The sequence below is a fragment of the Homo sapiens genome, chromosome 14, assembly GCF_000001405.40.
Source record: "Homo sapiens chromosome 14, GRCh38.p14 Primary Assembly".
Lineage (NCBI taxonomy): Eukaryota > Metazoa > Chordata > Mammalia > Primates > Hominidae > Homo > Homo sapiens.
The window spans coordinates 77,584,447-77,600,274 of NC_000014.9; the positions used below are offsets into that span (position 1 = coordinate 77,584,447).

Consider the following 15,828-nt stretch of genomic DNA (forward strand, 5'->3'; position numbering starts at 1 on the left):
ATGCACACATATTTATATACTTATATATGTAAGTATGTAAATATACATACTCTGCACACTCTTAAGGAAGATATTTCTTACACTTTCAGAAAGGCTAAATGGCTTTCCCACTTAGGAAAGCAGCCAGAGGCAGAGCCAGGAACTGATGATCCAGGCCTTCTAACTTTACTCTGTGCTCCCAACCCCAATGCCACACTGCCTCTTATTTGGTGATGCTACTAAATCAATCTGAAATACTTTGATAGCGTTCAAAGCACTTCAAGACCACTGTGCTATTGTCCTTCCCATTCTTTTCCTATGTTCTGCATATGACCAACACACACATAACAAACCCCCTACAAGACACACAGACACACACACACACACTTAGGAGATGGAAGGCTAAAAACTGTATTTCCTGGACACCCTTGTGATCGGGTTGCGGATGTGATGTAGGGTCTGCCAGTGAGAAGCACATACAACAGCTGGATGGCAGGGGCCACGCTTTGCACCAGCGTAGGAGGCAAGCCCCTGCAGACCTCAGTGCTGGGTCGGCACCAGCGCGATTCTATGTGCCACTGCCTATTCACCAGCCTCTGGCAGTGCGACAGTTGTGATGCCAGCACTCAGAGTACTCACGGCAGGAGCAGTTTCCTAGTTTGGGGTAGCTGCCCAGTTAGGGGAGGGAGGCCCTAACCTCACTGCTCTCGCCCCTCCACAAAGCCATAAATGCCTAATTCTCTGTTGGCTTGAATGACCTACAGTGTTTTTGGTAACTCTACCAATAATGTGACGATTTCAACAACGTGGTCATTATAATTATTGTTGAGAAATAGATGTTTAATAACTTATTAGATGTATTTTACAGAGTCACTGAATAAAATTTAAATTCTTTGTCCAAGTCACATAACAATGCAGTGACAAAGCCAAAACTGAGACTAGTATTATTCCAAACTAACACTATTAGTGGTAGTGTTACTACTAATTCCATTAAGAATTCTCAATGTCAGTTCTAATTTAATAACTTTTACTTATTTTAGAGTCTGGGGCACCAATCTCGATATAACAAAAGACAAAATTTCTCTCAAACATGAGCATTTGAGGCAAACAATCACTGCTTTGATGTTAGGATAAAAAGCTTGGAAAACATGCTTAGAACTGTCTCAGTGTCTTCTCAAGGTCAGGATGATTTAAAGTTCGACCCTTGACCTATGCATCCAGTGCAGGGAAAAAAAACTGGGACAAGTAAACCAACTCTAGCAGTCTTTAAGGAACAAATTTATTTCAGCTTTACTTTTATTCAAAACTTGCTAAGTAAAGGAAAACGTGGGAGAAAAATTTAAATCTACAAAACTATAAAGTATTTAGACCTTCACAGATTACTTTTAAATGCCATACTTATTTTAAAAACTTTCTCACTAGGACATCCACTGGCCAAAAAAATGACCCGACCTAAACCTCATACCTTATACAATTAACTCAAAAGGAGCATAGCCCTAAACGTAAAATATAAAACTATAAGACTCAGAAAAACCTTAATACATTCCTGGTGGACATGCAAAATGGCACAGCCAAGGTGGAAAAGTGTGTTGGTTTCTCAAAGGTACATGTAGACTTTGACAACGATGAACGTGATAAATTTTTTCTTTTTTCTTTTTTTTTTTTTTTGAGATGGAGTCTTGCTCTGTTACCCAGGCTGGAGTGCAGTGACGCAATCTAGACTCACTGCAACATTCGCCTCCTGGGTTCAAGCAATTCTCGTACCTCAGCCTCTCAAGTAGTTGGGATTACAGGTGTGCACCACCATATCCCGCTAATTTTTGTATTTTCAGTAGAGACGGGGTTTCACCATGTTGACCAGGCTGGTGTCAAACTCCTGACCTCAAGCGATCCACCCACCTTGGCCTCCCAAAGTGTTGGGATTACAGGTGTGAGCCATCACACCCAGCCAAAAAATAATTTTTTTAAAGGTAAATATAGACTTTCCATGTGACCCAGCAATTCCATTCTTAGGTACGTACCAATTGGAAACAGATACTCGAACAAGTACTTGTATGTGAATGTTCATAGAAGCACTATTCACAACAGCCAAAAGGTGGTAACAAAATGTGGTATATCCACATAACAGAATAGTATACAGTGATATAGGAATGAAGTACTGTTACTTGCTACAATGGTACATGAATCTTGAAAACACTATGCTAAGCGAAAGACAAGCCACAAAAGAGGGATGGTAGACGCAAAATACTTGTAGGATACATAAATATTTCCTAAAAACCACTTAGAAAAATACACAAACCCAGTAGAAAAACGGACAAAAGATTTGAACAGAGACTTCATGAAATCAGCACTTCCAATGGTCATTAAACATATAAAAAGCTGTTCAGCTTCACTGGGCAATAGAGAATTGCAAATTAAAACCACAATGAGACACTAGTACATATATACCAATTGAACTGGCAAAAATTTTAAATTCTGGCAATACTGAGTGTTAGTAAAGAGATGTGGAACAATTCTTGGCCGGGCGCAGTGGCTCACACCTGTAATCCCAGCACTTTGGGAGGCCGAGGCAGGCAGATCACGAGGTCAGGAGATCAAGACCATCCTGGCTAACACAGTGAAACCCGTCTGTACTAAAAATACAAAAACAAAATTAGCTGGGCGTGGTAGCGGGCGCCTGTAGTCCCAGCTACTCGGGAGGCTGAGGCAGAAGAATGGCGTGAACCCAGGAGGCGGAGCTTGCAGTGAGCTGAGATCACGCCACTGCACTCCTCCAGCCTGGGTGACAGAACGAGACTCAGTCTCAAAAAAAAAAGAATTCTCAAACACAGCCGGTAGGTGTACAAACCAGTACAATAACTTTGGAAAACAATTTGGCACTATCTAGTGAAACTGAAGACATGCATACTCTATAACTCTATAACTCAATAATTCCAACCCTGGAGAAACTCATATTTACATGCAGGAAATGCATATATCAGAACATTTATAGTAGTTTTATTCATCACTGACAAGAAATGAAAAAAGCCTCAATATCCATTATTATTAAAATGAAGGAAGGCCAGACACAGTGGCTCATGCCTGTAATCCCAGCACTTTGGGAGGCTGAGGCAGGTGGATCACCTGAGGTCAGGAGTTCGAGACCAGCCTGGCCAACATGGCGAAACCCGTCTCTACTATAAATACAAAAAATTAACCGGGTGTGGTGGCAGGCACCTGTAATCCCAGCTACTCGGAAGGCTGATCTCTTGAACCTGGGAGGTGGAGGTTGCAGTGAACCGAGATCGCACCACTGCACTCCAGCCTGGGCGACAAGAGCAAAACTCTGTCTCAAAATAATAATAATAATAATAATAATAATAATAACTAATGCTGTTTGCTGGTATGATAGTACTACTAAAAGATTTCAAGACATTTCATTATAAACATAATATTGCATATCAAAGACAAGATAGTAAAAAAAAAATCTATAACGTTTTGAATTTTTATTTGGGCAACATTTGTTGTTGTTGTTGTTGTTATTGTTAGAAACAGTGTCTCACTCTGTAACCCAGGCTGGAGAGAAGTGGCATGATCATAGCTCACTGCAGCCTCAAATTCTTGGACTCAAGCTATCTCCCCACCTCAGCCTCTCAAGTAGCCAGGACTACATACAGGTGCACACCACCATGCTTGGCTAATTTTTAAATTTTTTGTAGAGACAAGATCTCTCTCTGTTGCCCACGCCAGTCTAAACTCCTAACCTCAAACAATCCTCCTGCCTCAGTCTCCCAAACTGCTGGGATTATTGGTATGAGCCACCACACCCAGCTGGAAAATGTATTTTCTACTAAAGAAGGAAATAGCCTTATGAGATAGATTTAGAAGTAACTGAAACATGACAAAGTTGTTTCAAAACTTAAATTAAGAATTTTTAAATCCCAAATAATTCCCACCTGAGGAAGTGTTGAAAATGGAGTCATCACACAGTTAAAATTCATTATAGTTGGACGCAGTGGTGGATGCCTATAATCCCAGGATTTTGGGAGGCCAAGGCAGGTGGATCGCTTGAGCTCAGGAGTTCAAGATCAACCTGGGCAACAAGGCGAAACCCTGTCTCTACAAAAAAAAAAAAACAAAAATTAGCCAGTTGTGGTAGCGTGCGCCTCTAGTCCCAGCTACTCAAGAAGCTGAGGTGGGAGAATCACTGGAGCGTGGGAGGCAAAGGTTGCAGCGAGCTGAGATTGTGCCACTGCACTCAACCCTGGGCAACAGAGCAAGATCCTGTCTCTGAAAAGAAAAAAAAAAAATCTGGCCCAGGCACAGTGGCTCATGCCTATAATCCCAGCACTTTAGGAGGCTGAGGCAGGCGGATCACTTAAGCCCAGAAGTTCAAGATCAGCCTGGGGGCAAAACCCAGTCTCTACAACAAAACACAAAAATTAGCAGGGCATGGTGGTACGTGCCTGTAGTTCCAGCAACTCCGGAGGCTGAGGTGGGAGGATCACCTGAGCACAGGGAGGTCGAGGCTGCAGTGAGCTGAGATTGTGCCACTGCACTTCAGCCTGGGTGACAGAGTAAGACCTTGTCTCAAAAAAAAAAAAAAAAAAAAAAAAAAAAAAAAACACACAAAGAAAGAAAAGAAAAAGGGAAAAGGAAAGCATTATAAATTCTAAAAGTATTTTATAAACCAATAATTCTGTTTTTATCTCTACTTAATGAAGAAAAGTAGGTGAAATACTCAATGAAAGGTTTTCAGACTACAACTTTTAAACCTTTCAACCATGGTTAATTAACGACTTTCCTTACTGTTCATATAGGTCATACCACCGTCTGTCCTTTCCTGTTTTTAATGTTAAAAACAGGAAGCCACTTCCTTGCTGTTTCTATGCTGTCCATGAAAGCGCAGAATGAGATTTCAAGATAAAAAAACACTGGTTTTTCCTACATCTAAAACAGTCATTTGTATGTTTGTGTGTGCATGTGTGTACGTACACACCTACCTCGACTACAAATACTTCAAAATACTTTACATTGTTACTGTTACCACCACTCACAATACCATTCATATCTTAAACTTTTTTTTTTTTTTTTAGAGATAATGGCCAGGCACGGTGGCTCATGCCTGTAATCCCAGTACTTTGGGAGGTCGAGGTGGGCAGATTACCTAAGGTTAGGAGTTCAAGACCAGCCTGGCCAACATGGTGAAACCCTGTCTCTACTAAAAATACAAAAATTAGCCAGGTGTTATGGCAGATGCCTGTAATCCCAGCTACTTGGGAGACTGAGGCAGAAGAATCGCTTAAGCCCGGGAGGCAGAGGTTGCAGTAAGCCAAGATTGCGCCATTGCACTCCATCCTGGGCGACAGAGCGAGAGTCCGTCTCCACACACACACACACACACACACACACAAATACAAAAAATTAGCTGGGCGTGGTGGTGCACGCCTGCAGTCCCAGCTACTCAGGAGGCTGAGGCATGAGAATCACTTGAACCCAGAAGGCAGAGACTGCAGTGAGCTGAGATCATGCGATTGCACTCCAGCCTGGATGATAGAGCAAGACCCTGTCTCAAAAAAAAAAAAAAAAAAGACAAGGTTTCACTCTGTCACCCAGGCTAGAGTGCAGTGGCTCAATCACAGCTCACAGCAGCCTTGAACTCCTAGGTACAAGTGATCCTCCCACCTCAGTCTCCCAAGTAGCTAAGACTATGGGTGTAGGCCACCACACCCAGCTAATTTTTTAATTTTCTTGTTGAGACAGGGTCTTGTTACATTGCTCAGGTTGGTCTCAAACTCCTGCGCTCAAGCTATCTTCCCACCTCAGCCTCCCAAAGTGCTTGAAATTACAGGTGTGAGCTAACACGCCTGGCCTCTGGCCTTGTATCTTAAACATTTACCGAGCGTCTAATATGTGCCAAGCACTCTATAGTACAGAGTAGTAAACAAAAAGGTAATAATCCTTGCCCTCTTGGAATTTGTATTCTGGTGGAAGAGATAAACATATAAAATACAAAGTTTGCTAGTCCAGGCTCAGTGGCTCACGCCTGTAATCCCAGCACTTTGGGAGGCCGAGGTGGGCAGATAGATAAACATGAGCCCAGGAGTTCAAGACCAGCCTGGCCAACATGGCAAAGCCCTGTCTCTACTAAAAACACAAAAATTAGGTGTGGTTGCACATGCCTGTAGTCCCAGCCACTCTGGAGGCTGAGGCAGGAGAATTGCTTGAACCTGGGAGACAGAAGTTGCAGTAAGCCGAGATCGCGCCATTGCACTCCAGCCTGGGCAACAGAGCAAGACACTGTCTCAAGAAAATAAAAATAAATAAAAATAAAAATAAATAAAGTATGTTAGACAGTGACAAATACCAACAGAAACAAAAGCAAAAAGGAAAGGGGGAGACATGCTGCAAATTAGCTGGGGTGCCCTGGGTAGAACAGAGGATAAAATGGAAGTGAGGGAACTAGCCATGGGACTATTTGAAGGAAAAGCTTTCCTGGCATGAAAAACAGGGAAAACAGGTAACAGGGAAACTCTTGCAAACCTAACACTGGCACTAGTCCAAACGGATACAGAGGTAAACCTACTGCCACTAGTCCAAACAGATACAGTGGTAAACCTACTACACAAAGCTTCTTTGAAAGGTTTATTTTGAGTATAGTTTTTTACCAGTGAGAAATCCCTATAGTAAGTAGAGATGACTGCTCCATATGATGAAATATTATTCAGCAATAGGAAGCAATGAAGTACCGATACATGCTACAACATGAACTTCAAATACATTACGCCAAGTGAAAGGAGCCAGACACAGAAGAACATACACTGTATGATCCCATTTACATGAAACATCCATTTATATGAAAAGTCCCGAATAGTAAATCTACAGAGACAGAAAGTAGATTAGTGGCTGCCGAGGGTGGGGAGGGTGGATGAGGAAGGAGTGACTGCTAATGGTTCATGGTTTCTTTTTCAGAAGAGAAAAACATTACAAAATTAAATTGTGGTGCTGGCTGCACAACTCTGTAGATATACTAAAAACCATTGTATCGTACACTTTAAATAGGTAACCTTTATGATATGTCAATTATTTAAAAAGACTACTGCTGTCCTGTGCCCAGCAACTAACACAAAACAATGAAATACAGTGCTCTTTATTTTTTATTCTTCTTATTTTTTTTAGACAATCTCGCTCCATTGTCCAGGGTGGAGTGCAGTGGTGCAATCTTAGCTCACTGCAACTTCCACCTCCCAGGTTCAGATGATTCTGGGGGAGCTAAGTAGTGCTCTTCTGTATGTATGTATGTATGTATGTATGTATGTATGTATGTATTTATTTTTAGACGGAGTTTCTCTCTTGTTGCCCAGGCTGGAGTGCAATGGTGTGATCTTGGCTCACTGCAACCTCCACCTCTCTGGTTCAAGTGATTCTCGTGCCTCAGCCTCCCAAGTAGCAGGGATTACAGGCATGTGCCACCACGCCCCAGATAATTCTTGTATTTTTAGTAGAGACCGGGTTTCACCATGTTGGTCAGGCTGGTCTCAACTCCTGACTTCAGGTGATCCGCCCGCCTTGGCCTCCCAAAGTGCTAGGATTATAGACGTGAGCCGCCGTGCCCAGCCAGTTGTGTTCTTTTTAAATGTAGAATCATACACAGAATTAAAGAAGACAAACCAAACAATCAATCCCCTAGCTTAATGCACCAAAATGACAGGTACCAGAATATTCTTAGTACGCTACTTTTTTTTTTTTATTTTGAGACAGTCTCTATTGCCCAGGCTGGAGTGCTGTGACAAGATCTCAGCTTACTGCAACTTCCGCCTCCCAGGTTCAAGCCATTCTCCTGCCTCAGCCTCCCAAGTAGCTGGGATTACAGGTGCCCACCACCACGCCTGGCTAATTTTTGTATTTTTAGTAGAGATGGGGTTTCATCACGTTGGCCAGGCTGGTCTTGAACTCCTGACCTCAGGTGATCCACCCACCTCGGCCTCCCAAAGTGCTGGGATTATAGGTGTGAGCCATCGCACCCGGCTGTACGCTACTTTTTGAAGGAGGCCAAGAATAAAATCCCTCTGGGAATTCCTAGTAATGTATTTGAATTTCTTTCTTTCTTTTGTATCTTGAAAATAAGCCTATTGGGATATAAACATATAATGTCCCTTCGCCGTATCCTATCCCTCCCATTTTTAATCTACTTATTTTTTGTAACTTTTATTTTAGGTTCAGGGGTACGTGTGCAGGTTGTGCAGGTAAACTCGCATCACAATGGCTTGTTGTACAGATTATTTTGTCACCCAGGTACTAAGCCTAGCACCCAATGGGTTATTTTTTCTAATCCTCTCCCTCTTCCTACCCACCACAAGTGTCATTTTCCTCTTTGTATCCATATGTTCTCATCATTTAGCTCCCACTTATAAGTGAGAACAGGCTAGGCACGGTGGCTCACTCCTGTAATCCCAGCACTTTGGGAGGCCAAGGCAGGCTGAGGTCAGGAGTTTGAGACCAGGCTGGCCAACATGGTGAAACCTTGTATCTACTAAAAATACAAAAAATTAGCTGGGCGTGGTGGTGCATGACTGTAATTCCAGCTACTTGGGAGGCTGAGGCAAGAGAATCACTTGAACCGTGGAGGCGGAGATTGCAGTGAGCCGAGATCACGCCACTGTACTCCAGCCTGGGCGACAGAGTGAGACTCCATCTCAAAAAAAAAAAAAATTAAAAAAATTAAAAAATAAGTGAGAATGTGGTATTTGGTCCTCCCGTTTTTAAATATCTGATCATGAACAAGCTGTGGAGGCAAAATGTTAGTTTAAAATTTTGTCAGTGTGTGGTAACTACCTACCATAATTTACTCCTTACGTTCCTAGCTATTTCCTATCTAAATATTAGAATATTTTTTTCTGAATTAAATTTTTTCATTTTGTAGAGATGAGGTTTCATTATGTTGTGTCAGCTGGTCTCAAACTCCTGGCCTTGAGTGATCCTCCTGCCTCAGCCTAGAACATCTTTATTAATTCAAGCTTTTGCTGTATCTGTCACGTACGTGTTTCTGAACTACTAGCTTCACCTCACATCACAAAGAAATAATCCATAGATTGAGAAAAACAACATTCTCATCCAAAACACCACGAATAACAGAGGATTAAGGGGTAAAGAATTCCAAGAATTTTATGCAATGTATATAAAATAGAACAAACTCATGGTAACTCATCTTTATTGGTATGATCATGTGATTTAGTTGTATTCAAAGCAACATACGGTATTTCCTTACATCAAAGAATTAACACAGTTAAACTGGGCTCTCTTTTATAATGAAATGAGGAAGAAAACCAGGATGTGGTTATGAATACCACTCTCTCAGTGAAATGAGGAAGTAGCAACATTATGTTTGCATTTTATGATCCCAAGCAACCACTTTCCCTCACCTCCTTCCAGTTTAACACTTAATTTGCCTCCCTCTTTCCCCATCTCTAATCCAACATTAGAAAACAAACATGATCTATCACAGGAAAGGAATGACTTTTCCTTTCCCTCTAAAAGCTGAATTTTTGTAAGAAAATGGCAGAAGTTGGCTGTTTTAAATGCTAATGTTATCTACTGGGAATATTCTATTGAAATGAATTTGAATAATTTAATAAAATCCTCTCCATAAACTGCAGAGGCAAATGCTCTCCTCAGCCTCCCATTTCCTTGTATTACTTCCTCCAAGAATTGTTTCCTGATTAACCCTATGCTACTCAGATACTTTTTTTGTTCTATATCTTCATATAATCTAAGTATTATTTACTTGTATAATGGTTTTGCAAAGGCCCATAACTTTCAAATGTTTGTTTCCTCAACAAAATTAGAAACTACTTAAGAATAAAATCTGTGTGTTCTAATTCTTTCACACAAAGGATACACAGGCAGCTCCCAACACTTAAACCACCAATTTACTTTCTGTAAACATGAAACAAGTTCCAAAGATAATGTACTCACAAAGTAATTCAGATACATCTTGTTGGTTTCATTCATTCATCACACTTTGAGCACCAGCTGCACAAGCTGTATGAAAAATCCCCTGATCAAAAACTGCCCTTGGGGTCATGGTGGCTCACTCCTATAATCCCAACACTTTGGGAGGCCAAGGCAGGAGGATCGCTTGAGCACAGGAGTTTGAGACCAGCCTGGGCAACATGGCGAGACGCTGTCTCTATTTAAAAACAAAAACAAAAACAATACTCCTCATTGCCTACCAAACTTCTTACTTTGATTTTCAAAACACAATTTCTCTTCTGTCTACATTCCAGATTCTCCCAAACATTCTTCATGCCTTTGCCTATACTATCCCCTCATCCAGGAATGTGCTGTCTGCACCACAATCAGCACTTCCCTCACCACCAGCAATACACGTCAATTATCAAGTTTCGACTATGCATCTACACTAGGAGAGGTCCCTGCAGATAAAGAGTTTTTAGTTTGAATATTTAAATAAAACTTCAGCTACCATCGGTCATAACTGCCATCAACTCAGTCTAGTAGGAGGATACAGGCCTGTGAACAAGTAACTACAATACTGTACAACCTAGGAAGGGTATGGTAAGCTGTCACTGAGGGCTATACAAAATCAACGTACTGTAGATGCACTCTGAGTGGACATGCTCAGGGGGAGAAGGGGGATCAAAACGTATTAAAAATGTGGGCCAGGCACAGTGGCTCGCATCTGTAATCCCAGCACTTTGGGAGGCCGAGGCAGGTGGATCGTTTGAGGTCAAGGAGTTTGAGAACAGCCTGGCCAACATGGTGAAACCTCGTTTCTACTAAAAATACAAAATTATCTCGGGAGTGGTAGCACATGCCTGTACTCCCTGCTACTTGGGAAGCTGAGGCATGAGAATTGCTTGGACCCGGGAGGCGGAGGTTGCAGTGAGCCGAGATCACACCACTGTACTCCAGCCTGGGTGACTGAGCGAGACTCTTGTCTAAAAAATAATGATAATAAAATAAAAAATGTTAAAAATGTGTTTGGGTTTTAAAAGATAAAAATTACTTAGGGTTACTGGACCAACTTCTGAATGCAGGGCTTTGCATTCAAAAAACTTATTTACCTTCTTTGTGAAATTAACTTGCAGGGCAATGAGTAGGATGGCCAACTTGTGCTGGGGCTCGGATGGAGTACAAGATGGTTGAGATGAGAGAGAAAGGATGCCTAATCTTGAGTTCTCCCAGGAGCCACTTTTGAATCCATGTATCTACTGACTGGTTTTGTCTTCCTAGTAACTGACAATGTTTTCGTGATATACTCTTCCCATTTGCACATGACCACTATCCATTACCTGAATAATTGTTTCTTCTACAATCAATGTTCACTGGCTCGTCTCAGCGTTGACTTTGCTCACCCCACACCTGCCTCTTTTCCTCGGACGCACAGGAACCACAAAAAAACTCTAATGTCTTAAGTCCTTCTCTAATCTGGTACATTTGCCTGGGCTAAAAGACAACCTTTTGCCATGTGGGACATGCCAAGAACACACAGGTTTGTTTTATTTTTAGTAAAATTAGGCATCTTTAACCCTCATTTTATTTATTTATGGAGACTAGGTAACACATATGTAATGTATACAACTCCAGAAGTGAGCTTCAAGTCAATAACAAGTAAAAAAAACAAAAAAACTGGCCAGGCACAGTGGTTCACACCTGTAATCCCAGCACTTTGGGAGGCCGAGGTGGGTGGATCACAAGGTCAGGAGATTGAGACCATCCTGGCTAACACAGTAAAACCCCGTCTCTACTAAAAACACAAAAAAAATTAGCCGGGCACGGTGGCAGGCACCTGTAGTCCCAGATACTGGGGAGGCTGAGGCCAGAGAATGGTGTGAACCCGGGAGGCGGAGCTTGCAGTGAGCCGAGACCGAGCCACTGCACTCCAGCCTGGGCGACAGAGCAAGACTTGTCTCAAAAAAAAAAAAAAAATTAGCCGGGCGTGGTGGCAGGTGCCTGTAGTCCCAGCTACTTGGGAGGCTGAGGCAGAAGAATGGTGTGAACCCAGGAGGCAGAGCTTGCAGTGAGCCGAGATCGCACCACTGCACTCCAGCCTGGGTTGACAAAGCGAGACTCTGTCTCAAAAAATAAACAAACAAACAAACAAACAAAAAACCCTTCAGAGGTACAAAGGAACATGCAGAGAAAAGTGAAGTGAATGAAGAAGCCCTCTTCCCCAGACAACCATGCTCATATGTTTGCCATTCCTAAAACAAGAGTGTTGTTTACCGTAAATAGAATCGGTTGGCCACATTCTGTATTACAGCTTGTTTGTCTGGGGAGAGGAGCTGATGTGTGAATCACCCAACTATGTATAATGTATCTATGAGAAAACACATTATTAATTCCAAAGAATACAACCTTTTCAGAAAATGGTAAACACAACCTGGGATTCAGCATGCTGGTATGAACAGAAAGAGCAAGGCTTTTTCACTTCACAGTCCTCTGTCCACACAGCAGCTCTGACACCTGGCATCTTGGGAAACGTTGTTTAACTTGTGACTTTTTGATTTCTAATCCATAAAACAGGGATAGTGCCGCCCACCTCCTTAGGTTCTTCTTGATTAAACCCATGATGAATGCTTTGATATCTTTAACCTTGTTATTTTTCAGCTTTCTTTGTAGAATGTTTTCATTTAACTGCATCTGGAATAGTTTAATTTTAATGTGTACCCAAATTTCTGAGAAAAAGCTTTTGTGCAAAAATACTAAGATTTCCATAAAAGGCTTCTATTTACAGAATCAAAAACTCTCTAACAGTTACCTTTTGTTCTTCTCTTTCTGTTGCATGGTGACACTTTTCAATTCTCCAATACCTCAAGAAATCTCGAAGATATCCAAAGAGGGTGAGTACGCCATACCCCACATACGTGAGCACAGCAACCAGCATTGGTGTTTCTTCAAAAGCTTCATTAAACGGTCTTTTATATAGTCCTCCATTTTGTGTAACATGATGGATCTAAAAGAGAGGTTAAAAATGTTTATTTCCATCATGGCAAGAAAAACATTCCTACCTAAAATCTAGGTCCTTAGAGATTTGCTGAATTATACCTTAAGAATTTTCTAAGTTCCGCCGGGCGCACTGGCTCACACCTGTAATCCCAGCACTTTGGGAGGCTGAGGCGGGCAGATCACTTGAGGTCAGGAGTTCAAGACCAGCCTGGTCAACATGGTGAAACCTGTCTCTACTAAAAATGCAAATATTAGCCAGGATTGGTGGTGCACACCTCTAATCCCAGCTACTTGGGAGGCTGAGGGAGGAGAGTTGCTTGAATCTGGGAAGTGGAGGCTGCAGTAAGCCAAGATCACGCCACTGCACTCCTGCCTGGGTGACAGAGCAAGACTCCGTGTCAAAAAAAAAAAGGAATTTTCTAAGTTCCAACCTCACTGGAAACAAGAAAAAAAAAAAAAAGAATTTTAGGCCAGGCACGGTGGCTCACGCCTATAATCCCAGCACTTTGGGAGGCCGAGGCGGACGAATCACCTGAGGTTGGGAGTTCAAGCCCAGCCTGATCACATGGAGAAAACCCATCTCTACTAAAAATACAAAACTAGGTGGGTGTGGTGGCGCATGCCTATAATCTCAGCTATTCAGGAGGCTGAGGCAGGAGAATTGCTTGAACCTTGGAGATGGAAGTTGTGGGGAGCCGAGATCAAGCCATTGCACTCCAGCCTGGGAAATAAGAGCGAAACCCCATCTCAAAAAAAAAAAAAAAAAGAATTTTGTAAGCAACAGTCAAATCTAACACTAAGAGATAAGCAGGGCTACTTGTTTTCAATAGAAATAACTTATAAATTATATGCCCTTCAGATGAACAGTAAAAGAAGGGGAGCAAGAAGGACTGCATAAGAACACCACCTAACACTGATTTTTATCATTATTTGATTTTCTTAAATAGATTCTAAAATGCTAGCATAATTTCTTTTGTTCTAATAAAAAAAGCAAAAAATATAAATCAACAAAGAGAAAGCCTGTCCCAAAAAAGTACTATATTGGCCTACAGATGAAGAGATCAAAAGTTCAAAAGTAAATTCAGCTTTATTAGAATGTAAAATATTTGTAAATGTTTTACTACCACACATTCTTAAAGCCACCCAGCCATAGTATTCCAAATAATTATCAGCAGTAGGCCCCTGCAGAAACACGTAGTTCAAATTAACCTTTGTTGGTAGTGATAACACAAGTAAATCATGCAAAAAACTAAGATGTTTATATAAGTGTGGTCCAGGCTGGGTGCAGTGGCGCATGCCTGTAATCCTAGCACTTTGGGAGGCCAAGGTGGGCAGATAACTTGAGCCCAGGAGTTTGAGACCAGCCTGGGCACATGGCAAAATCTTGCCTCTACAAAAACAAAAAACAAAAACACTAGCTGGACATGGTGGCACATGCCTGTAGTCCCAGGTCCTCAGGAGATAGGTGGGAGGATCACCTGAGCCCAGAAGGTCGAGATGGCAGTGAGCCATGATCATGCCACTTCCCTACAGCCTAGGTGATACAGAAAAAAAAAAAAAAAGTGTGGCCCAGCATTATATAAAAGTAAAAAGAAAGTGAAACCCAAAACAAGGGGAAAAATTGTTAGTAACTGACATGAATTTTTCTGTCCCCCTTCATCTTAAGTATTCATTCCCAAACATCGTAAGATTATCCCTTGTTTTAACCTTTGGGATACTTGGATTTTAATACACAAAAACCAAGCTACTTTACTTTTGATCTCATAGATGAAAACTTTTTGCTTCTTGGTCAATTTTAATGGAAATCTTGCTTTATAGAAGATATCTGCTAGACAAGTTTGTGTGTTAACTTTAATCTTAACTTTGGAACAACTGCAGTGAGGATGGTTAAACAAAATTTACCAGGGGCATATCGTCAATTAAGCATTACAAAAGGTCCCAAAGAACTAAAAGATCCTTTCTTGCCCTCTCAGGCAATCTGATCAGAGATACGATATAAACAAATAAAAACAAATTAATAAAATTTACATAACTATACAATCAATTGTTATACATATCCAAGGGGTAAAGATATTTTAGAATATCCTATCCCCGTAATGTTAGTTTTGGAAAGCTGCTTCAGTGTTACAGACTGGAATAGTTCGGAAAGACACAGTTGTATGTGACAAAGGACAGGCATTCAGATAGGCATGGAAGATGGATGGAATCTGTTGGTACTGATTCAACTTGATGATCTAAATAACTTCTGAAAACTATTCACAAACTCATTTGGGTCTTCATCAATCTCTTCCACACAGCAGAAAAAGTTTGGTGTCAATATTTAATACTTAAACTTTTAAATGGGAGTAAGACTGTAATGTGTTTAGAACAGAATACCTAAAATTGAGCCAATATCTTAAGGCAGAAAATTGTTTAAAAATTAACAACATAACAATATAAAAAAGTTATTAAGCTGGGCAAAGCAAAATGAAAAGCAATTTAAAAGACAAGAAAAATTAACATTCTGATCATCTCTTTAAGAACTGTATCTGAAAATATTTTGCCTTAAGAACTCTGTTTAATACCAGTGCTGAACTCTCCCTAACTATGAAATTATTTAAACTATTTACTCTCAACTGTACACATCATTAAAAAGCCTGGAAATTACAGAGCCCCCCCACCGCAGTCTCAATCCAACATGCAGCGAGTTTACAGGTCAGGAATGCTATGGGTGGGTCTCTTTTAAAGATATCCGCCTTGATTTCAGGCACACCCACACAGGCAGGATCAGGTCAATTCATACTGTAGGCTGGACTCTCTAGGAAGGAGGATGCTAAACCATTATGAAGAACTGTGTGATTTTACCAAAGCCTTATTCAAAATTAAATGTATTTTAAAGAATTTAGGTTCAACTAGGAAGTG

General features: G+C 41.2%; 1 protein-coding gene across 2 annotated transcripts in view; it reads right to left on the reverse strand.

Annotated features, from left to right (window-relative positions):
- Positions 1–15,828, reverse strand: part of SPTLC2 (serine palmitoyltransferase long chain base subunit 2) — a 110,641-nt gene that overhangs the window by 78,450 nt on the left and 16,363 nt on the right. For both annotated transcript variants that reach the window (NM_004863.4, XM_011537384.3), the window contains exon 2: positions 12,740–12,934. In NM_004863.4, coding sequence (NP_004854.1) covers positions 12,740–12,934 — 195 coding nt within the window. The remainder of the gene's footprint in view (positions 1–12,739; positions 12,935–15,828) is intronic.